At 38.6% G+C, this 22278-nt stretch overlaps 1 protein-coding gene across 2 annotated transcripts in view, besides 4 other annotated features; it reads left to right on the top strand.

Moving 5' to 3' along the window:
- Positions 1-22278, top strand: part of BACH2 (BACH transcriptional regulator 2) — a 370316-nt gene that overhangs the window by 12131 nt on the left and 335907 nt on the right. The window contains exon 2 of one of the 2 annotated variants that reach the window (NM_021813.4): positions 12772-12864. The exons of the other annotated variant lie outside the window; for it this stretch is intronic. The gene's annotated coding sequence lies outside the window, so the exon portion shown is untranslated. The remainder of the gene's footprint in view (positions 1-12771; positions 12865-22278) is intronic. 2 annotated transcript variants of the gene reach the window in all.
- Positions 11973-12117: an enhancer, noted in NCBI's record as "145 bp 6:90982387 sequence used in MPRA reporter constructs". NCBI's record gives its function as "activates a minimal TATA-containing promoter with rs969577 allelic activity by MPRAs in UACC903 melanoma cells {active_cell/tissue: UACC903}" and the evidence as "EXISTENCE:reporter gene assay evidence [ECO:0000049][PMID:36423637]".
- Position 12045: a transcriptional cis regulatory region, noted in NCBI's record as "rs969577 or 6:90982387 MPRA-significant variant associated with a GWAS melanoma risk locus at 6q15". NCBI's record gives its function as "allelic transcriptional activity by MPRAs in UACC903 melanoma cells {active_cell/tissue: UACC903}" and the evidence as "EXISTENCE:reporter gene assay evidence [ECO:0000049][PMID:36423637]".
- Positions 12703-12847: an enhancer, noted in NCBI's record as "145 bp 6:90981657 sequence used in MPRA reporter constructs". NCBI's record gives its function as "activates a minimal TATA-containing promoter with rs45553631 allelic activity by MPRAs in C283T melanocytes {active_cell/tissue: C283T}" and the evidence as "EXISTENCE:reporter gene assay evidence [ECO:0000049][PMID:36423637]".
- Position 12775: a transcriptional cis regulatory region, noted in NCBI's record as "rs45553631 or 6:90981657 MPRA-significant variant associated with a GWAS melanoma risk locus at 6q15". NCBI's record gives its function as "allelic transcriptional activity by MPRAs in C283T melanocytes {active_cell/tissue: C283T}" and the evidence as "EXISTENCE:reporter gene assay evidence [ECO:0000049][PMID:36423637]".

Below are 22278 nucleotides of genomic sequence, written 5' to 3'. Positions count from 1 at the left end.
ATAAAGTTGTTTTTTGTAGGAATGATGATCCCCCTGTTGTTTTCTCATCTTACTGTTTTTAGTTTCATTATGATTAAGGAGCCAAACTCAGATCATTTCATCGTTTAGAAATCTCTGCGCTAAGCATCTCCTGTCGGGGCTGTGTTTGAGGGAAATGTGGCTGAAAAGCAAATCCTCCCTGAATGCAGAAAGGAAAATACTGGTGCAGACTACAATCCACTGAGCTGCGTCCCTCCTACACAGCATCTATTGCGGAGGGCTGTGGTATTGCTAAGTAGCCCCATAACCCTGTGAGTCATTGTCAAAGGATTCCAAGAGGAAGGTTAACAGAAAATGCGAGTCAGAGGAAACAGCAGAGTGGAGCAGCTAGCTCAGGAAGAACTGTGCTACCTGCTGAGGGGCTGCCCAGATGTCACCAGGAATTCAGGTGTACGTTCATCTTTTTGCAGCCCATTTCCGTATGTCTACATATGGGGACATTTTTGTTTTTTGTTTAGTTTTGGTTGGTTTTGCTGCAGTTTGGCCAGACTATCAGAGATCACTATCTTAGCTTCGTATCACAGTGGTCTTATCCCAGAGCCTTTGCTTTTTGTATTTTATAGTCAAAGCAACTGAATTTCTAGACTGTAAGACCAACATGTATATTTAACATAATTCTTTTCCTTTCTAAGTGCTTTATTTATTTATTTATTTATTTATTTATTTTGAGATGGAGTCTTGTCCTGTCACCCAAGCTGGAGTGCAGTGGTGCGATCTCGGCCCACTGCACCCTCCACCTCCCAGGTTCAAGTGATCCTCCTGGCTCAGCCTCCTGAGTAGCTGGACTACAGGCACATGCCACCATGCCCAGCTAATTTTTGTAATCTTAGTAGAGATGGGGTTTCACCATGTTTGCCAGGCTGGTCTCGAACTCCTGACCTCAAGTGATCTGCCTGCCTCAGCCTCCCTAAGTGCTGGGATTATAGGTGTAAGCCGCCGTGCCTGGCCAGACCTAAAAAATTCTTATAAAATAGTTCAAAAGTTAAAAATGCATGAGGAGGCCGGGTGTGGTGGCTCACGCCTGTAATCCCAGCACTTTGGGAGGTCGAGGCGGGTGGATCACGAGGTCAGGAGATCGGGACCATCCTGGCTAAAACGATGAAACCCTGTCTCTAGTAAAAATACAAAAAATTAGCCGGGCATGGTGGCAGGCACCTGTAGTCCCAGCTGCTCGGGAGGCTGAGGCAGGAGAATGGTGTGAACCCAGGAAACAGAGCTTGCAGTGAGCCAAGATCGCACCACAGCACTCCAGCCTGGGCAACAGAGCGAAACTCCATCTCAAAAAAGAAAAAAAAAAAAGCATGAGGGGTCTTTCACTTATTGTTGGAAAAAAAAGTGAGTAGGACTTCTGTTCACTGAGTGGTAACTATGGAGAATGAGAAAACAAGCCCAAAGTGGTAAAGACGTTTGTGGCACATAAATAATACTGGTTCAGCACACATGTGAATCAATAAAAAAGCCAGATAACCAAAAAGAAAAATGATACTGTACATTCATATTCTTAAACATGCATTTCACAAAGGAAGAAACCCAATTGGCTAGTAAATATATAAAAAGATGCTCAGCTTCATTAATAAACAAACACATGCAGATTAAAATCATAGTAACATATGATTACACACTCTCTGGATTGGCAGAAATTTTAAAACCTGACAATACCATGTAAGGATGTGAATGAATGGGAGTTTTTGTATTTAGTTGACAGGAGTCTAACTTGGTACAATTATATCGGAAAACAATTTGCTGTTACCTAACCAAGTTCAACCTGCAAATAACTTACAACACAGCCATCTTACCCCTAGGTATACACCTAAGAAAAATGATTACCTATGTGCTTTAAGAAACATGAACAAAACAAAAAATAATTGATGCTGGCAAGGTTATGGAGAAAAAGGAACACTTACACACTCTCGGTGGGAGTGTAAATCAGTTCAGCCATTGTGGAAGACTGTGATGATTGCTCAAAGTCCTAAAGATAGAAATACCATTCAACCCAGCAGTTTCATTACTGTGCATATACCCAAAGGAATATAAATTATTCTAAGACACATACACGTGTATGTTCGTTGCGGCACTATTCACAATAAGCAAAGACATGTAATCAACCTAAATGCCCATCAGTGATAGACTGGATAAAGAAAATGTGGTACATACACCATGGAATACTATGCAGCCATAAAAAAGAATGAGATCATGTCCTTTGCAGGGACATAGATGGAGCTGGGGGCCATTATCCTTAAGCGGACTAACACAGGAACAGAAAACCAAACTGCACATTCTCACTTATAAGTGGGAGCTAAATGATGAAAACGCATGGACATATAGAGGGGAACAACGGACACTGAGACCTATTAGAGGGTGGGAAGAGGGAGAGAATCAGGGAAAATAACTAATGGATACCAGGCCTAATACCTGAGTGATGAAATAATCTGTATAGCATACCTCCATGACACAAGTTTACCTGTGTAACAAACCAGTACATGTGCATACCCCTGAACTTAAAAGAAAAAACATGGACAAACATATTCAAAGAAGCATTGTTCATAAGAGCAAAAAACTGGAAGCAACCCAAATAAATGCCCATCAACATTGAATCGAATCAGCACATTTTGCTGTGAGGTATTTATACACTGTGATACTATTTGGCAATGAAAAATCAACTAGTATAACCACATATAGAAGGGTGTGGAGAGGCAGCATTTCTTGGTGGTCAAGAGGAAGGATTGTGCCTGGGTTCAGATTTTGGTTCTGCCACTTATTGTGTGACCTTGGATGAATTTCTGAACTTCAGTGTACCTTAGTTTTCTCATCTGTACATCAGGGAAAATGATGTCTACCTGATAGTGTTGTTAGGAAGTTTAAATGAGTCAATGTTTGTGACATGCTTAGGAGAATGACTGGCAGACAATACATTCTATATGTGTTTGTTAAACAAATAAAAGTGCATCAAAATGGATGAATCTTACAAACAATATGGAAAGAAAGAAGCAAGATAGAAGAATATATACAGTGTGATTCTATTCATGTAAAGTTCAAAAGCATGCAAAACTAAATATGTTATTTAGGGATACATACATAGATGGTAAAACTATAAAGAAAATTAATATGATTTAATATGATTGTCACAAAAAGCAGTATAACAGCTACCTCCAGAGGTGAAGGAGTGGGTATGATAGAGAAGGGGCTCACTGGGGGCTTCTGAGGTCCTGGCAGTGTTTTATCTCCCAACCTGGACAGTGGTCCCAAGGATATTCTTTCTTCTTAATTGTTTTTAAAAACTGTCTATGTTTTTTATATATGTGTGACCTATTAGTAAACATTTTAAAGGATTTATGTGAGTTGTTATAGTAGCAAGATGACATTAAATAGAAATAACTGTAAATTGCTACATTTTAGTTAAAAATAATTGTTCAAGTGCACATGGGAACACTTGCTTGGTATTATTTCCTCCACAACATTGTGAGCCACCAGTGCAGTGTGATTCTTACAGAAGGCGACACCTCCTTAAGGCCACATTAAGAGAGCTGTCCCCTTTAGATCAGGGAATGTAATGTTCTCACTCAACTACTCTCAGGTCTGGATGTCCCATGTGTGGGATGCTATGTCTTGTCCCAAGGGATTTATTTTAAGAAAGATTTTCACCACAGAGGGAGCATTTTCTGTGATAAAGATGTTTAGGGGTCTGGAAACCTATCAGTTCTAAGAGTGGCCAAAGGAAGTGGGGATTTTCAACATGGAGAAGAGGAGATGTTGGGAGAGAAAGAGTGTCTTCCATCACTAGAAGTGGAAGCAGCCTTTCCTTGTTGCTTCCCTCTCTGTAATATACAAGTCCCTCCCTGTAATGTCTACCCTTGGAGGCAGGTTTCAAGTCCTGGATACTGGAGATGCCCAAGCAGAGGCTGTGGGACCTCCCTTAGACTTGACTGGGGCCACAATACCCACTGCCTGGTCCCTGGACCAGCAGCATCGGCATCACCTGGAGCTTGTTAGAAATGAAGTCTCAGGGCCACCCACACCTACTGAGTCTGAATCTGCACTTTCTCAAGGTGCCCCTGGGGTCTCACATAAACATCAAAATTTGAGAGGCACTGGGCTAAATGTCTCTAAGATCCCTCATGGTTCTTAAGATTTAATGATTTTATAGAATAAACTGTATGTTCAACTGAAAATTATCAGTTCATATGGTGACATTATCAATTTAAAACACCTTGGGATGTTACATGTCCACAGAACCATGTAAGTATTTGTTGCTAAATTAGTTTTAAATGGATTTGTCCAGTTTCCCCCGATGTCAAAGTTAGGTTGCTTATGTATTTGGGCACCTATAAGAATTAAAATATTACATAACGTTGTATTTTCTTCTTTCTAACATACAGGATTAGATTCTTGCTTTAAAATTCTCCATTAATGTCTTCAAATTTTTCTTTTATATTCATTGAAAATTCAAAAGCAGATTAGGGTTCTGAATACCTGTTAAGAATACTCAAAAGGGATATTTAAATAAATATATCTCATTAATACATTGATTTTATATTTAGCATATTTTTTCTTCTTATACATAGTCCATATTTTGACCTTATGGGAACCTTTGAAGTCTGAGTATTTTATAATGATTCTCCACAATACCTCTTTATCTTTTAGATTCTAGATCTGAGATCAGGCAAGTAAAATAGTTTTACCTTTTTCCCCTCAAAAGGCCATGACTAACAAGCTCATTTACTTTTTCCTTAAATATTTTGCTAATTATCCTTTTAACTGATGAAGTTCAAGTGGAATCCATGATTCATTTAATCTTTTCCCCTTTATGTAATTAGTCACTTGTTCTTTTGATGTTCCTAGCAAAACTAATATTTAAAGGGCTAGTCATAAAATTCCAAAATAAAAAGTTCTTAAATGACTTAAAATAAGAGATAAAATATGCTTTACTGTATAGTAAAAATGGAGAAAACGTCTCATGAATAGATGTTCTTTAAGGCTGTGAGTTATTTGATTTAAGCGTGTGTTACCAGGTCTGTGTTCTTTTGGTATATAGGACCAAGAAACTACTTTATGGCTTAATGTTTGCTGTACGTATGTCATCTAGATGAGATAATGTATGACAGAGGGCTTTATAAAATGATAAAGTAGTGTAGACTTTTTTTTTTTTTTTTTGAGACGGAGTCTCGCTCTGTCGCCCAGGCTGGAGTGCAGTGGCATGATCTCGGCTCACTGCAACCTCCACCTCCTGGGTTCAAGCGACTCTCCTGCCTCAGCCTCTTGAGTGGCTGCGATTACAGGCATGTGCTGCCGTGCCCAGCTAATTTTTGTATTTTTAGTAGAGACGGGGTTTCCCTATGTTGGCCAGGCTGGTCTGAAACTCCTGATCTCAGGTGATCCGCCCACCTCAGCCTCCCAAAGTGCTGGGATTACAGGCATGAGCCACCGTGCCTGGCCGTATTCTTTTTTTTTTAAGAGCAAGATTTAGGAAGATTACTGCATATTCCTATAGCGTTTGTTCGATTTTAGATTTTTTCAGAATGGTTTGAAATCACATATTCTAGCTTGAACTCTAAACCTGGTCTGTCCAGTATGGTAGCCATCAGCCACATGTGGCATTTGAGCATATGAAATGTGGTTGAGATGTGCTGTGCAATATACACCAGCTTTCAAACAAAAAGGATATATATCTCCTTGATAATTTTTATTATGTTGATTACATGTTGAAATGATAATGTTTTACATATATAGGATTAACTAGTAAATATTAAGATACATTTGGCCTGTTCCTTTTTACTTTTTAATGTGGCTACTAGAAATTTAAAATTATATGTGGTTCACCTTATACTTTGATTTCAAAGTGCTGATTTAGTCTCTAAAGTCTAGAGTGATTGAGAGCTCTCAGAGAAAAGAAGATCAGAGCTTAACAGAGAGTTTTAGAGATGAGGTGCCACCGACAGAATCCACTTACTTGAAGAAATCCCAGTCTGCACCTTTGCCCTACTTTTAGAGATTACTGCTTTCTTGAACCCACAAAGTAGAGCACTGGGTAGCAAGCATTTAATATCTACAATGTACAGAGCATTGAAGGGGGATTAAAATAAGTATCACACAGGTCCCTGCCTTTAGGGAAAACATATAGTCTACTGGGGAAGCAAGATATGAGCACATGAGTTGTTAAATCATGGCTTGAGAGATACATAGCTGTTCAATGCTCAGGTCCAAGACTGTTGCAAACAGACGGTTGAGGCACTAAAAAAAGTGCTTCAAAGGAAGGAAAGGTCTCCACGGCCTGGAAAGGTCTCCATGGCCTGGAAGGGTGTCCCACCAGAGGAATGCCTTGGCTGGGCACTGACGAGTGGGTAGAATTTCAGTGGGCAGAGAGAAAGGGGGCATGGCCAGGTAGGAGGCAGGGTAGAGTGGGAAGAAGGAGGAAAACATGGAAAAGCACAGAATGGTTGAGAAGTCAGTGAGAAGAAGAGATGGATTGAACTGTGAGCTGTGAGTAGAATCATTCTCTAGTCCACTTATTATTGAAGCTTTAATATTTGACATCGTCTCCTATAATATTATGTATCTTGACACTCTTCCGAAAATTATTTACCAAGTGTCTCAAAGTAGAGGTTAGGGCAGGACACTTTAACTTTGGGTAGAATAAATGTTGCATATCTTTGATTGTTAGGAAGTTCTTTAAATGGCAAAACTGATAATATTATCTTGCCAGTTATGTTTATACTAACATTTTGTGTAGAACCATGTAACTTTAAAGGCTTCTCGGATAAGTACATTATTAGTATTTCAGGCAGTAGTGCTCAGCATTTGTATATTCTTCTTGCTTAAAATGCCTTCAGTGTTATGTCATTTGATCTTTGCTGTTGGCTCCATTTTATAGAACTGGAAGCCAGAGAAGCTAAGATTGAATAATTAATGGTAGAGTCTGGAATTTGAACCTAGCTCTTAAGCTTCTTCCATTTTACTGTGTGAAACACACTAGTTTTCATTCCTGTAAGTCTGTTTCTTAAGAGAAGCTGATTAATTTTATTTCTTTTTAATTGAATGATAATATAAATAGGGAAAAGTATGCATATAACATATATTCATCTTACTGACGAATTTCCATAAAGTGAACACGCTGTTGTAACCAGTTCCCAGATTAAGACACAGCATTATCAGCGCCCTAGAAATCCCTCAGGCTTCCTTCCAGTAACTACTTCACCCGTGGTAGCCACTACTCTGACTTGGGAAAGCATAGATTTGCTTTGCCTGTTTTTGAACTTTATATCAATGGAGATACAGAATGTACTATTTTGTGTCTAACTTCTTTCACTCGATAATATGCACAGTTAACTCATATTGTGCATGACACCATATTGACTATGGTAGTTGATTTTTCATTCTCCATGCTATATAGTATTATATTGTGTGACTATACCACTATTTATTAATTTGTATAGTTTCCAGTTTGGGGCCATTATGAGTAGCAATGTGAAGATTCTAGAACATATCTTCAGGTGAACAACATAATTATTTGTGTTGGGCATATTTAGGAGTTAAATCAGGAAAGCAGTGTAATTTTTAAATGTCTTGTAGATGAGGCTGAAATTTGACTTTGTGACACTCTTCAAGAAAAGAAGTGAAAACCTCAAACTGTTGGTGTCTTGAATAGTATATCAAAATAAATACTAAGGCAGCCATTATGAAAAGGTCCAAGGTAGAGGAATTTTAATGCCCGAACACATTTTTTCAAGGGAGGATGAAAATAGTCAATTCTCATATAGAGAGAATTTGAAAGGGTTAGGATGTTAAAATACTGACGTTATATCACTCAGGTTTCTCTTACAGTTATATTTTTTTTCTTCAAGAGAACTTTTAGCAGGTGATAGTGGAAAACTAAGGTGTGATTGGTACCAAAATGACCATTGTCCCAGGGTATAATAAGGGATGAATAACTGGGGAGTGTATTTACTAGGAAATAAGAAAATGGGGTTGGGTTAAATGGCAGGAAGGTACATTCCAAAATCTATAATGCAAGCTATGGTTCTCAAAATTTTACTGAAATTTCCTCTCTCTCTCACTCTTTTGCTTAGCGTAATCTGTAGGCAAAAGAATTTGCATTCTTTTAAAGAAGGCAATTATAAATACCATAACTTGTTTTTAGAAAAAATCTTAGACGTTTATCCAGAGGCAACCTGTCTGAATGAAAATGTAGTTCTAGGATTTGCCAACACAAAAGACTTCAGTGTCTACCTTTAATGCTTATTAACATTAATGGTGATCATTTAAAGGTGTGTGTTTTATGTTTAGACTTATAGGTGTTGTTGATCTTAAGCAGACTAGGCAGAGAAATCCTTCACATTTTCTGTGCTCTCATTCAGGATGGCCCTAGGCATGTTACATGGGAAATGAGAATATGTGAATAAATACTCTCATACTTTCTTGGGCCTCAATGAAAAGAACATTTGTTACCATTTTTAGTCATAAATTAAAATTATTTCAGAGTAGGAAATATAACATTAATTTAGAACATGGCTGTCATAGATGAAACGTTTTACACATGTATTGCTGTGGTAGACATTCCTTGCATTTATTGAAAGCCTCTCCTTTATAAAGTTAGTGAAGTGTGACTACTCTGACCTCCAAATACTGGGTGTATTTGAACTATGAAAGTAGGTTTAAAAGTTACACTTTTCTTTAATGCCCATTGATGATTTCTTTCTTTTTTTTTTTTTAAGACGAAATCTAGCCCTGTCACCCAGGCTGGAGTGCAGTGGTGTGATCTCGGCTCACTGCAGCCTCTGCCTCCTGGGTTCAAACTGTTCTCCTGCCTCAGCCTCCCAAGTAGCTGGGACTAAAGGTGCACACCACCATGCCTGGCTAATTTTTTTGTAGAGACTGGGTTTCACCATATTGGCCAGGCTGGTCTCGAACTTCTGACCTCAGATGTTCAGGCCGCCTTGGCCTCCCAAAGTGCTGGGATTACAGGCGTGAGCCGCTACGCCCATCCAGAACAACAGGCACTGGGGCCTACTGGAGAGTGGAGAGTGGGAGGAGGGGGAAGAGCAGAAAAAAAAAAACCTATCAGGTACTAGGCTTAGTACCTGGATGACAAAATAATCTGTACGACAAACCCCCATGACGCAAGTTACCCATATCACAAATCTGCACATGTAACCCTGAAGGTAAAAGTTAAGTAAATAATAAAATATTTTACATTTATTTAAAAATTCTAAAATGGTTGTATTTTAAAAGTAAAAACAAATTTTGGTTAGGATTTGAGCTTATTCCATTTTTCTTCTAATTTTCCAAATTAAATGTAAAATGAGAGCATCCCAGGTAGGGGGAGGTAGGGGAGAAACCAAATAATTTTCAAGTCATATTTGAAGAGCAGGTATGTTCTCTCACGATTTACAGTGCAGGTGCATTTTAATTTAACTGCTTTAAATGATGATAAAAATTGTTCAAGTAGAACAAAGCAAAGTTTTAGAAGTGACTTGTAAACAGCCATTCTTAATTTTTTCCTGTTTTCTCTCCACTTATGTGACTTGCATGAATTTCTGAAGCAGTCCTTTCAAATGACACTGCTCCAAACATGTGAATTGCATTCATCAACAAAATCCAGCCTTTTCCTTTGTAGGACAATGTGGGGTCACGGGGCAAGGGGTCTTTTCTTTGTCTAGCCTGGTGCCAAAGCAAAGACTAGTCCTCCCTGCGTTTGGACCCAGTGACATGTTTCCATTTGTCATTGAACACTAGGGGGAGGAACTGTAGCCTCTGAGGTACCCCCATTTGGTCCTCACCCTCTACCAGAGGATTTGCTGCTTCAGCCTCTTCAGTGCCCCAGGTATTTGATGCAAAGATTATGCACTTATGCTGCCAGTTATCAGGGTTGTGTGGGTGTCTTTAGAGGGGTCTCCCCTTAGCATCAGGTCTCAATGACAGAATCTAAATAACACAGGTTACTCATCACGAGTTAAAGATTTTTTCCCTTTTCACATTGATGCTTCTGATATACTTTTATACGTTAGCTGATTGTATGTGCGTACTTTGTGGCTGCAAAGATGCAGCTGGAAAGTGTGTGGGGGTTGTCTGCTTCCTCTGAGGCTGCTACAGGTGGTCAGGTGGGGGCGGCTGTGATAAAGGTACAGCACCCACTTCCGCCAGCTTGTCTTGTGCGCCCTGTAACCCACTGCATGAACCCGAGTGGCACTTCAACCGGATTTTCTTGTTGGCACTTTTATCTTTCACTGCTTCTGACTTGCCTGTTGAGGTTTATGACTAAGGTTGTGATTAAAAATTCCCTTTTTAGGTATGAAAAGTCTTTTCAATTACTTTGTGTTCCTTTTTTTGTTTTGTTTTGTTTTTGTTGTGTGTGGACTTTCTGGGTTTTGTAAAAATGAATCTTAAAAAAATCTTAATATTATGTAAGAGTTAGATAAAGGTTAAGTAGCTAATATATTCTCTCATCAGGGCATAGAATCAACGTATGTTCTTGGAAGATTAAGTGTGTCAAAATGCATTTTATGATGGAAGCACTGTCAGTTGTTTAGAATAGGCATGGAAAAGCCCTTTTCAGAATATTGTCATAAAATCAGACTTGGAAAGGTTTTCGTTTATTCAGTCTGTATTCCCCTATCTGTCTGTTTAATCTCTGCATATTACTGTCCTTGGAGCACGGAGAAACGTGAGCTACCCTTGGAGGTTTATAGTCCCACTGGAAGGGAACTAATGTTTACGCCTGATTATATGATAGGAGCTTTACATGTTCTTATTCAGTCTTTGAGGAAACCTTATAAATAAGATAATAACTTTTTCAGAGAAAGAAGCTGGGGTTCTGAGACATTACCCACTTAGGGGCACCCAGAGGAAAGAGCAAGACCTCCAGCTCCATCACCAGTAATTTCCAGCCTGTGAGCTTCCCTCCACACTCAGTAATTTAAAAAACAACTTGATTTAGGGACATCTAGTAAATATTCTAGAAGTTCAGAGGCAGAAAAGCTAGTTTGCAGCTGAAGTACTCAGATTTCCCACTGGCTGAGTGGGAAATCAGACCCGAGCCTTGACAGTGGGCAGAATTTGTATAGAGGAGCCAAGAGAAGAAGAGTTTCCACACTGTATAAGCCAAATGATGGAAGGTGTAATAACAAAGGAAGGGTGAGCACACAGGTTTAGGAGATGCTGTGTGGGCCAGTCCAGCTGGGAGCCATTACCATTTAACACTTAATGGAGTGCTTACTGTGCTAGGCACTCTTCTAAGTTCTTCACACCTTTTAACTATTCTTATCTTCACAGCAAGCCTTTGCAGGAGATATTATCAAGTCCCTCCTGCCCCCACTTTTTTTAGAAACAGAGTCTTGCTCTGTTGCCCAGGCTGGAGTGCAGTGGTATGATCGTAGCTCATGGTGGCCTCGAACTCCTGGGCTCGAGTGATCCTTTTGCCTTAGCCTCCTGAGTAGCCAGGACTACAGGTGTGTGCCACCATGCCTGGCTAATTTTTTTTCCCCATAGAAACAGGAACTCGTTATGTTATCCAGGCTGGTTTTGAACACCTGGCCTCAAGCGATCCTCCGCCTTAGCCTCCCAAAGTGCTGGGGTTACAGGTGTGAGCCACTGCACCTGGCCTTCATTGAGGGATGAGGAGACTGAGGCACATAGCAGTTAAGTTGTGGAACTGTGATTCAAAGCATGGCCACCAGGATCCAGAGCCTGAGTTCTTAGCTACTCTGCTGTCTTGTTTTCTCTCTACTGGGCAATGCAGGTTGCTTGTTAGAGGGGTGATGAGGATTCTCAAATTGCTGGGGATAGCGAGAGGAAGATGAAAATGGCAGGGGTAGTGATAGAAAGATCAAAATGGCAGCAGCACGCTGGCCAATTTTACAAGAGGAAACATTAGGAAAGAAGAGAAGAGGGAGTTTTTCTCAGCTAAGCAGGATCTGGTCAGTGTAAGTGGGTAGCAAAAGATAGAGGTGAGATGTAACAAATCAAGAGGCCTTGATGAATGACTGGAATTGAAGAAGAGGGAATGAGCAAAAATGAATCTAAGATTTGGAGCTTGGTTGGCTGGGAGGATAATTCTGCTATTGCAGAAATCAATGAGGTCAATAGACAAGCTCATTTTTCCACAGCAGTAGTGTTGCAGCAAGAAATGAAGGCTTTTGAAGAGCATATGCAGTAGAGATACCATATGCAGGAAAAATGGCTCACTGGAGAGTTGAGAATAAAGGAGAGGAGTTCAAGGGAGGGAATGGGGATGATTGGGGGGCTATCTGCAAGGAGAGAATTGATGTGCTGGGAACAGACGATTTCTGAGGGAGAGAGAAAAACCCAGGGCCTTAAAAAGTGTCCTTGGTCAAGAAGCAGAAGGAGAAAGAGGAGCAGGAAACCATAAAAGAAACAGGCGAAGCAGGAGAGAGAGGAGAATAAAAAGAGGAAAAAAAAAACTACTGAACAGTGTCAGACACTACAAAGAAGTCAAGGAGAACAAGAGTGAAAGGGGGACATAAGATTTGACACGGAAGAAGGCCATTTGTACCCTGCACAGTAAGTCTTGGTGACATGAGGAGGTGAAATCCAGTTGCATTAAAGTCTGTGGTATTGCTGAGTTCTTCCTCATGGGCAAGTCCCTGGACCTTTTCTAAGCACTAAATTTGCAGGTAGTTCAATGTCAAGCAGAGAAGGAAGTTGGTTAACAGCACTTGGTTGCATGATACTACGTTTTGTTATAGTGACCTAACTGATCTAACGTGTTTTGTCTTTCAGCGCGTTCGTTCACATAGCTCCCAGTTTTAACATTTCGCCACCTACTGAAGACATCATTTGGGACCAAGCTGATGAGCCCTTGAAGCACAGCAGGTGAGGCAAGGACCTCAGCTTGGTCTTTGTTTCATAAGTTTACACAGCTAGCTTACATTCCCACCAGCAGTGTGAAAGTGTTCCCTTTTTACCAGATCCACGCCAGCATCTATTATTTTTTGTTTTTCAGTTATGTCCGTTCTTACAGGAGTAAGATGGTATCTCGTGCACTTTTAATTTGCATTTCCCTAATAGAGATGTTGAGCATTTTTTCTTATGTTTGTTGGCTATTTGGATGTCTTCTTTTGAGAATTGTCTGTTCATGTCCTTTGCCCAGTTTTTGATAGGTTCTTTTTAAATTAGTTTATTAGCTTTTAATATAAACATGAGAAAAACCACATAAATTGTAGCATTCTTTTCAAAATAAAACTGCAATCAATACTTGAATGAATCTCCAAGCTCTGAACTTCATAAACAATGTTTTTTCTTTTCTTTTTTTTTCTTTTCCTTTCTTTTTTCTTTTTTCTTTTTTTTTTTTTTTTAAATGGGGTTGTTTTTATCTTGCTGATTTGAGTTCCTTGTAGATTCTGGATATTAGTCCTTTGTCAGGTGCATAGTTTGCAAAGATTTTCTCCCACTCTGTGGGTTGTCTTTTTACTCTGTTGATTTTTTAGTTTAATTAGGTCCCAACTATTTATTTTTGTTTTTGTTGCATTTGCTTTTGGGTTCTTAGGCATGAACTTTTTGCCTAAGCCAATGTCTAGAAGAGTTTTTCCAGTGTTCTAGAGTTTTTATGGTTTCAGGTCTTAGATTTAAGTCTTTGATTCATCTTGAGTTGATTTTTGTATAAAGTGAGAGATGAGGATCCAGTTCATTCTTCTACATGTGGCTTGCCAATTATTCCAGCACCATTTATTGAATAGGGTATTCTTTCCTCACTTTATGTTTTTGTTTGCTTTGTCAAAGATCAGTTGGCTGTAAGTATTTGGCTTTATTTCCGGATTCTCTGTTCTGTTCCATTGGTCTATGTGCCTGTTTTTATACCAGCACCATGCTGTTTTGGCAACTATAGCCTTGTAGTATAGTTGGAAATTGGGCAATGTGATGCCTCCAGATTTCTTCTTTTTGCTTTTGTTCTATTGGCTATGTGTACCTTTTTTTGGTTCCTTGTGAATTTTAGGATTGTTTTTTCTAGTTCTATGAAGAATGATGATAGTATTTTGATGGGAATTGCATTGAATCTGTAGATTGCTTTTGTCAGTATGGTCATTTTCATAATATTGATTCTACTCATCCATGAGCATGAAATATGTTTCCATTTGTTTGTGCCATCGATTATTTCTTTCAGCAGTGTTTTGTAGTTTTCCCTGTAGAGATTTTCACCTCCTTGGTTAGGTGTATTCCTAAGTATTTTATTTGTTTATTTAGCAGCTGTTGTAAAAGGGATTTAATTCTTGATTTGATTCTCAGCATGGTCACGGTTGGTGTATAGCAGTGCTACTGATTTGTGTTCATTGATTTTGCCTCCTGAGACCTTACTGATCTAGGAGCTTTTTGGATGAGTCTTTAGAGTTTCTTAGGTAGTACAACCACTCTGGAAAACAGTGTGGAGATTCCTTAAAGAACTAAAAGTAGAACTACCATTCCATCTAGCAATCCCACTATTATCTACCCAAAGGAAAAGAAGTCATTATATGAAAAAGACACTTGCACATGCATGTTTGTAGCAGCACAATTCGCAATTTCAAAAATATGGAACCAGCTTAAATACCCATCAACCAATGAGTGGATAAAGAAAATGTGGTATATATACATCATGAAATACTACTCAGCCATAAAAAGGAACAAAATAATGGCATTCACAGCAATCTGGATGGAATTGGAGACCATTATCCTAAGTGAAGTAACTCAGGAATGGAAAACCAAATATAGTGTATCATAAGAATGATATAATGGACTCTGGAGACTCAGAGTGAAGTTCCACTAGGGAACTTATCCATGTAACCAGAAACCATATGTTCCCCCAAAACTATTGAAATAAAATAAAAATTAAATTAAAATTTTAAAAGTTCACACAGCTGCCCAGCGTGTGTCCCACTCACCGGGGCCATCAGCTTATTCTGTGTATTTCTAAGCATCTTATGAACACACTGATTGTTATAAGGAATCCAAACAATATAGCACTGCCACACTTGGGGCTGCTATTTGTTTTAGGGCTCTTTTATTATGGAAAGTCCAACCGATATGAAAATAACCTAAATTTTCTCTGACTTCTCAGAAATTCTCAAAACATCAAAATGTGCCCTGTCTTTTGATGCTGGTTACCCCTTGGTGGGAATCCAGGATTTCCTTATTTCAGTGTCACAGCTGTGAGTTGTAAAGCATTTCATTCACCACAATGCTAGTTACAGTTGATTTTATTTAAGCTGCCAGATTTGGAAATGCACCTCACTATAGCATTAGTTTAAAAAATTTAGGAAGGGGAGAAGAAATTTGTATGTACAAATGATATTTTTTACTTTTGGACTGTAAGTATGTTTTTTGGTTCTTTATTCTTCCCACCAGTTTTTCTGGGTAACTGTAACTTGGTGTATCAACTTTTAGAAAACTCAGAAGACTTAGGAGTATGTAAGCTCTCTCCCTTCCCTTCCCACCCCTCACCCCCAGCATAGAATATTGGTAGGTGAAACTTTATTAAATAGAATCTGCACGGAGTAGTCAGACCTTAGCCCCACCTAACCCTGCCACTTGTCTCTGTTACTGTTTTCTGTTGCTATTAGCATCTTCATTCAGAAGGACGAGAGGGGAGAAAAAAATGAAAATGAAGTTAATTTTGTTCAGCAAAAGTTAAAGTGTCTGGCTGAACTCTGGGTAGCTGGTTTTGGAGTTGTATGGGGTTTCATTTATTCTCCAGGTCTCTTAGTCTTCACTTGAAAATAGAAACTAGAGTTCATTTTTCCTGACAAGAATGAACTTAATTATTTACCTAGAATGGTTAGTAATCTGTTCTTATTACCAGAAAGCTTTCTTCTGATCTATTTAGTATCTTTTTTCATAAGAGTTTGAATATATTAGCATGTATTCTCAATAGAATCTAATCTTTCATTATTAAAGTTCCTAAATATCTTATATTACTATGTTTTATCATTATGAACATTGACTCTCATTGTTTAGAGTTTTGCTTCTCTAATTATCTTGGGTGAAGGACCAGTTTTGTTTTTAATTTCCAGTATGTCATGGATTGATAATTTTATAAAATACAATAAAAATGATTTACTAGAAAAATGAAATACTAGAAAAATGAAATTTAAAGAAACTAAAAACATAAGCCTGATTAAACATTTATTATTCTTATAGTCAACAGACATAAAATTACTCTGGCAAGCTGCTGTAAAAAAATTCTAAAGGTCTACTCTCAGTTTCTGTGCTTATTCTGGGACTAGGGCTGGTCTGCAGAGTCCAGTTCGAGTTGCACTGTTGGACAGAATATATACAACTTAGGAGACTGAAGTTCAGTAGATACTAATTTCAGAACATATCCTCAAAGTGGGTTTTTGGGGACTGTCCCCTTCACATTTCTTGCATGTATAAAAGGCAAGTGCAGTTCGGGTACAGTGGTTCATGGCTGTAATCCCAGCACTTTGGGAGGCCAAGGCAGGCAGATCACTTGAGATCAGGGGTTTGAGGCAAATTTGGCCAACATGGTGAAACCTCGTCTCTAAAAATACAAAAATTAGCTGGGCATGGTGGTGTGCACCTGTAATCCCAGCTACTCAGGAGGCTGAGGCATGAGAATTGCCTGAACCCAGGAGGCAGAGGTTGCAGTAAGCCAAGATCATGGCACTGCACTCTAGCCTGGGCGACAGAGCAAGACCCTGTCTTGAAAAAAAAAAAAAAACAAAAAAGGCAAGTGCAGAAAAAAATGCTGTTTACTTAAACTTTTTCTATTTTAAAAAAAATTGTAGGACAATGCATAAAATAATATTTAGGTGAATATAGAAAAAGTTGATTGTCTTTCTCCCACTCCTCTGGTTCTTTTCCTTTCTCTATACATCATATACATACATACAAACATATACCTTTACATGGAGAAGGGACATTTTTTCTGCTATGAAAATGGCATCATAAACAATACTCTGCAACTTTCTTTAATATTTTGTTACAACATTTATCCTTATCAAATATGAATCTAGTGGCTCTTTTTAACAGTTGCATAATATCCTATGGTATCGTTGTACCATAGTTTATTCAATTATTCCCCAGCTGATATACCTTCAAGAGCATTCTAGGTTTTTACCATTCCTAACAACACTGCAGTTAAATTCTTGTACATATATTCATGTGTATCTACTTTGATATTTGAAGGATAGATTCCTAAAAACGGAGTCAGTGACTCATGCATGATGTCAGATGATACTCCAAAAAAGTTGCATTGCTGTAGAGTCACACCTGCAAAATATGAGAGTACCTGTTTGCCTCACCCCTGCCAGGTGTTAGGAGTCTTTTTAAGTGTTCTCTCTCTGCGGTGTAAAGTGATCACTAGCTGTTTTAATTTGAGTTCCCCTGATTGCCAGCAAGAGTGTGCTTCTTTTCATATGTTTAAGGGCCTGCTGGATCTTTCTATTCAATTTGGGGGCAACAAAACTTGACAGATTTTATTTTATTAGGTCTTTTGTGTACCAAGTTTTCTGTCTGTGGTACACTCAGTGGTTGGGGTTTATATTATTTGTTCGTTTTAGTAGGGTAGAGGACATGGGAAAAGAACAAAGATACAGTGTTGAGGGTTTTTTGGTGGGGGGGAGATGTCTTAGTTCTGATTTTCTTTGTCTAACATGTTTTTTTTCTTCAAGATCAGCTTACAGGAAATCCGTCCCTATTTGTGTGTAATGTAAAAAGGGCACAGGGTGGGGCATCTTTATAGCTTGGCATAGTGTATATCGTTATTCAAGATTGCTCAAAGACTATGCGTTGCCATGTGTACTTTTAAAAAATTGAGGTAAGTTCATATAGAATTAACCCTCCTCAAGTGTACAATTCAGTGGCATATAGTACATTTACAGTGCCGTGCGACTGGGACCTCTATCCAGTTCTGAAACATTTTCCTCACCCCAAAGGAAACTCCGTCCCCATTAAGCAGTCACTCCTCATTCCCCTTATCCCTCAACCCCTGGAAACCACTTCTCTGCTTCCTGCGTCTATGGTTTCACCTTTTCTGGATATTTCATATAAATTGAGTCATGCAGTATGTGATTTTTTATGTCTGGCTTTTTTCATTTAGCATAACATTTTTGAGGTTCATTTGTATTGTTGTGTGTATCAGTACTTCATTCCTTATTGTGGCTGGATAAAATTTTATTGTATGCTACAATATACAATAATTTGTTTATCCATTTACCAGTTGATATTAGGGTTGTTTCCACCTTTTGGCTGCTGTGAACAATTGCCCATGTGCACCTAGATGCCAAGTTAAGTCATAGAGAGGCATGAGGGAAGAAGAAAGACAGCTGAAAAGAACCTCCCAGGGAGCATCTTCTGTCTTCTAGAGCCTTCCTCTCTCTGTAGTTGGTCATCTACAGGCTCTTTAGGAGGCTGGGTCAGTCGTGGGGCCAGATTTGGGATCTGTTTTCACTGGCTTCAGTATCTTCGTTAAACCAGAGATAGACCCTCCATATCACACCCTCTGGATTTAAAAAGGAATTTACATCCCACCCTCAGGGCACTAGGTCTGCTCTAGCCTCCATGGGTGCAGTGGCCGCAAGGAACATTCATGGCTATTCCTCCATGGTTGTTGCCTCTACCTTTAGCATCTGGGTTGGAGCTTGTAGAATGTGGTGATCAGGAGGAATTGTGCCCACATAGTACCTGGGCATATGACAGTATAGGCTCATTTCCCATCTCTGCAGCCTTAGTCCAGTTATGTATCTCTCAGTTTTCTCCCTGGTAAAATGGCATTACTAATACTTACATCATAGGGTTGTAGAGATAGTTACATGGGATAATGTATAGAGAGCACTGTTACAGTACCATGTGGTAGTACTTGATAAATGTTCATTTCTTCTGTTCTCAGTGCTTCTCTGTCCTCTTCTATCTGGTGCCCAGGACATTACATACTTCACAAGGTAGTATTAAGTTTAAAATGAGTTGATAATGCAGAGGAAGTCTCTTAGCACCATGCCTGCAACGTAAGTCAACACTCACTATAGATAGAAAGGTACCTTACCTTGCAGTTAGGATTTCTCATTGGGAAAATGCCATCCAATTGATTACAAGCCGTCTAAAGTGTTTTAAGTGGTAAAGATTTCACCTGGGTATATTGAGTTGTTCTGCAGCGTGGTGTTTATTACCATAGACACATCGGGCTAATTAAGACAGCCATGTTCAGGATAGATGCACTATCACTAAGATCCTGATGTGTGAGTTGGGCATTTCCCATCATGTTAGCACAAATATATTAAAGAAAGTTACTTTTATATCAAAGTGTTTGCATCCCAAAGAAAATACTTGTACAGCCTAAAGTTCTCTTTCTTGTGGAAGCTGACAAGAGACTTCTGTCTTGCCCTCCAAAGTGGTTTAGTATCCTATTTTGAGCACTCTTTGGGTGCTGTTATTTAGAAATTCTATTTTAGAGCAAATGGGAAGGATTTTATAAAAAAGGGAGAAGCAACTGTCCTCCACCATGCTCTCTCTCAGCTGTGTAACAAGCCTCTCTGAGGGTGAAGTGGATCCCCATAATGTGGGCCCCATGTGTGAACCTTTTACAAGGTTTTCTTGTTGTAATGGCTGATATAATTAAAGGAGAGAGTTCATGTTTTGTCTGAAATGGAGCATGCCTTGAGTTACAATGTTTTGTTTTTCTCACCAAATATATCCTGACTATAATAGCAAACAGCTTGTATAAGATTTTTACATAAACATTTGAAAAAGCATTCTTGTCTTCACTGAAATTTTGAAAGCCTTTTAAGAATATTTGTAGCACTTATGTTTTTAAATGTACAGGTCTAACATGCAGTTGTTTATTTGGTAAATTCATTCCATGAGGGTGCTTTGAATCTACCTCCAACCTCTCACGGGTCTCCCAGACTTCCCAGGAACCACTGCTTGACAGCTGGAGAGACAGCAGGTGAACCAGGGTCTCACTGGGAGGGAAAGACGAGGAAACCCCAAAGGGACAGCTTTCTGGAGAAAAATGCCTGGCTGTGAATGCCTCTTCACCTCCATCCCAGATACACACTTCCAGGATGTGCAAATTGAGTCAACATCATGTCTGTAGAGGACAACAACATGTCTTTTGTTAGTCTTGACATTTCTTTAGCCCTAGGCCTCTCAAGTTTTGGATATGTGATGCTCAAGAAATGCATTTACAATTTGAAAACCTGGTGCTCATTAAGTAATTCTTTTAAAATTTTTTTCTTTTCCTTTTGAAAAATTCAAACCTAGAGAGGAGATGAAAGAATCATATGAAGAACATTTATATACCCTTTGTTTATATTTGCCAATTATTAATATTTGTTATTTTGTCTCTGAATTTATAGTTTTGTATGTGTGTTGGCAAGAGGGGTTCATTTTTTAGAACTATTTAAAAGTAAGTTGCAGACTTACTTTCATGACATTTTTCCCTGAAGACCTCAGCATCATTTCTGAAGAATAAGAACATTTTCCTACGTAACCACAATCCTGTTATAAAGTAAGTCTTAATTGAAAACTTCAGACAGAGGACAAAAGAGTAAAAAAGGCAGAGATTGAACAAAGCTGTAATTGAACTTGGAAAGTATAAGGAGAAGAAATATAGGGAGGTAATTAGAACTCCTGTTTGGTTCCTTAAAGGATAAATTTTGTATATACCAGCAAATCACTCAATGAATGCAGATTTTCTTCAAATATTTACTTTATCTAGTCCAAGGAGTTTCTCCTGGTGCTCTGAAGTCAGTGTTTTGGCCAGGGTTATAAGCTTTTCAGCCTGTAAATACATTTCTTCAGCATCATCAATCTAAAACCTGAGTGACCACATCCTACTTAGACTTGTGGTTAGGAGCAAATTTTCAAGGGATTTTGCTGGTGCCATTACCTTGAGAACATGGGACCTTCAGTTATTACAGTCAGAAATGTTTACTAATGGGCAGTTAGTGTAAACATGGGAGTCCTTTCCTGACATTTAATTTAGGTTTGAGTAAAAGCTGATGTGTTAGCACACTATTTTGAGAAATAATTTTACAGGCTTGGCAAAATGTTAAGCTTGATGTCATCACAGACTTTTGCAGATTTAGGCTTCAGGAGTCAGCGCAAGAAAAAATGCTACTCTTATAAAGGCTGAACAGCAGGAACAAAGTTAAGTGGATGGCATGTAGATGCATCACTAATTTGTCTATTTTAAAACAAAGATATACATTTTCTTGATACCAATAGCTTATAGAACATTAAACAAATTAAAAGGTTTATTTGGACTGTTTCCCTGAAAGCCTCCTTCTTCGGTAGGATTTAATATTTTGCCAGAAGAATTATGTTTGGGGATTTATTTTTCAAATTTTTTAAAAAAGCTATTTTCACTAAGCTTTGGGAGGGGAACCATATTAAGCTGTCTGTCTAACTAAGCACATCAGGCATCATCATGTCAAGAATGAGAAACTATGTGTTTCCTTTAACAGCAGTGTATGTCATAGAGATGTTTGACCCATGATTTTTCATGAAAAGGTCCATTTTCAGTAAACTCTTGTGCTTACCTAGTGTCTTCAATGTGATAACTGGCTTCCCACTGATCAGGGGTGAGATGCATCACAGAGAGTTTGAAACTACACATTTTGTCTTTTATTTCCTTTTTCTTTTTACTCTTTCAGCCTTCAGTGGCCATGGAGATTTTTTATTTTAAATTCCAATTTTACATATCAAATTTACAAACTGTGACTTTTAAAATAATTGTTGTACTCTTTTCTGTGAGTGAATTTTAAAAAGCATTTAATGTAAAATGCATGTGTAGTTTCTTGTGTATCAAAGCCATGCTTTTCCTTAGATCAGCTTAATCGTCTCCTGTTTCCAATTTGTGTTAGAAAGTTCTGTGTGAAATGTGAACTCTAGTTTATATACTTACTAACAGTTAATGCGTGTCCCTTGGGATAATAGCTCTTGAGCTATCTTTGTGGCTGTCTTACGTAGACCATTTGAATCTTTCTCCTTTAATGCCAAGTATCCACTTTTCACGTGTAAATTGGAGATGTCACTACCTGCACTTGGACACCAGTGTGTGCATGTAATGTTGATTGGTGTCATCATGGTTTTTGGCTACTCTGTGATAATTTTGTTTTTCAGAGGCAAATTTTGTGAGGCCAAACTTCGGAGATTGGGTCTGTACATCATTCATTCTTTCAGTCAGTAAACATCCATTTAGTGCCTACTCTGTGTCAGTGCTAGTCAAAAAGGAACAGGGCAGGATTGCTGTCCTGGAATCATGTGCACGCATGGTACCCATGAATGGGTACTAAC

The sequence above is a fragment of the Homo sapiens genome, chromosome 6 (genome assembly GCF_000001405.40).
Source record: "Homo sapiens chromosome 6, GRCh38.p14 Primary Assembly".
Classification (NCBI taxonomy): Eukaryota; Metazoa; Chordata; class Mammalia; order Primates; family Hominidae; genus Homo; species Homo sapiens.
The sequence above is the reverse complement of the archived record's forward strand: the minus strand, read 5'-3'. Positions and strand labels throughout refer to the sequence as shown.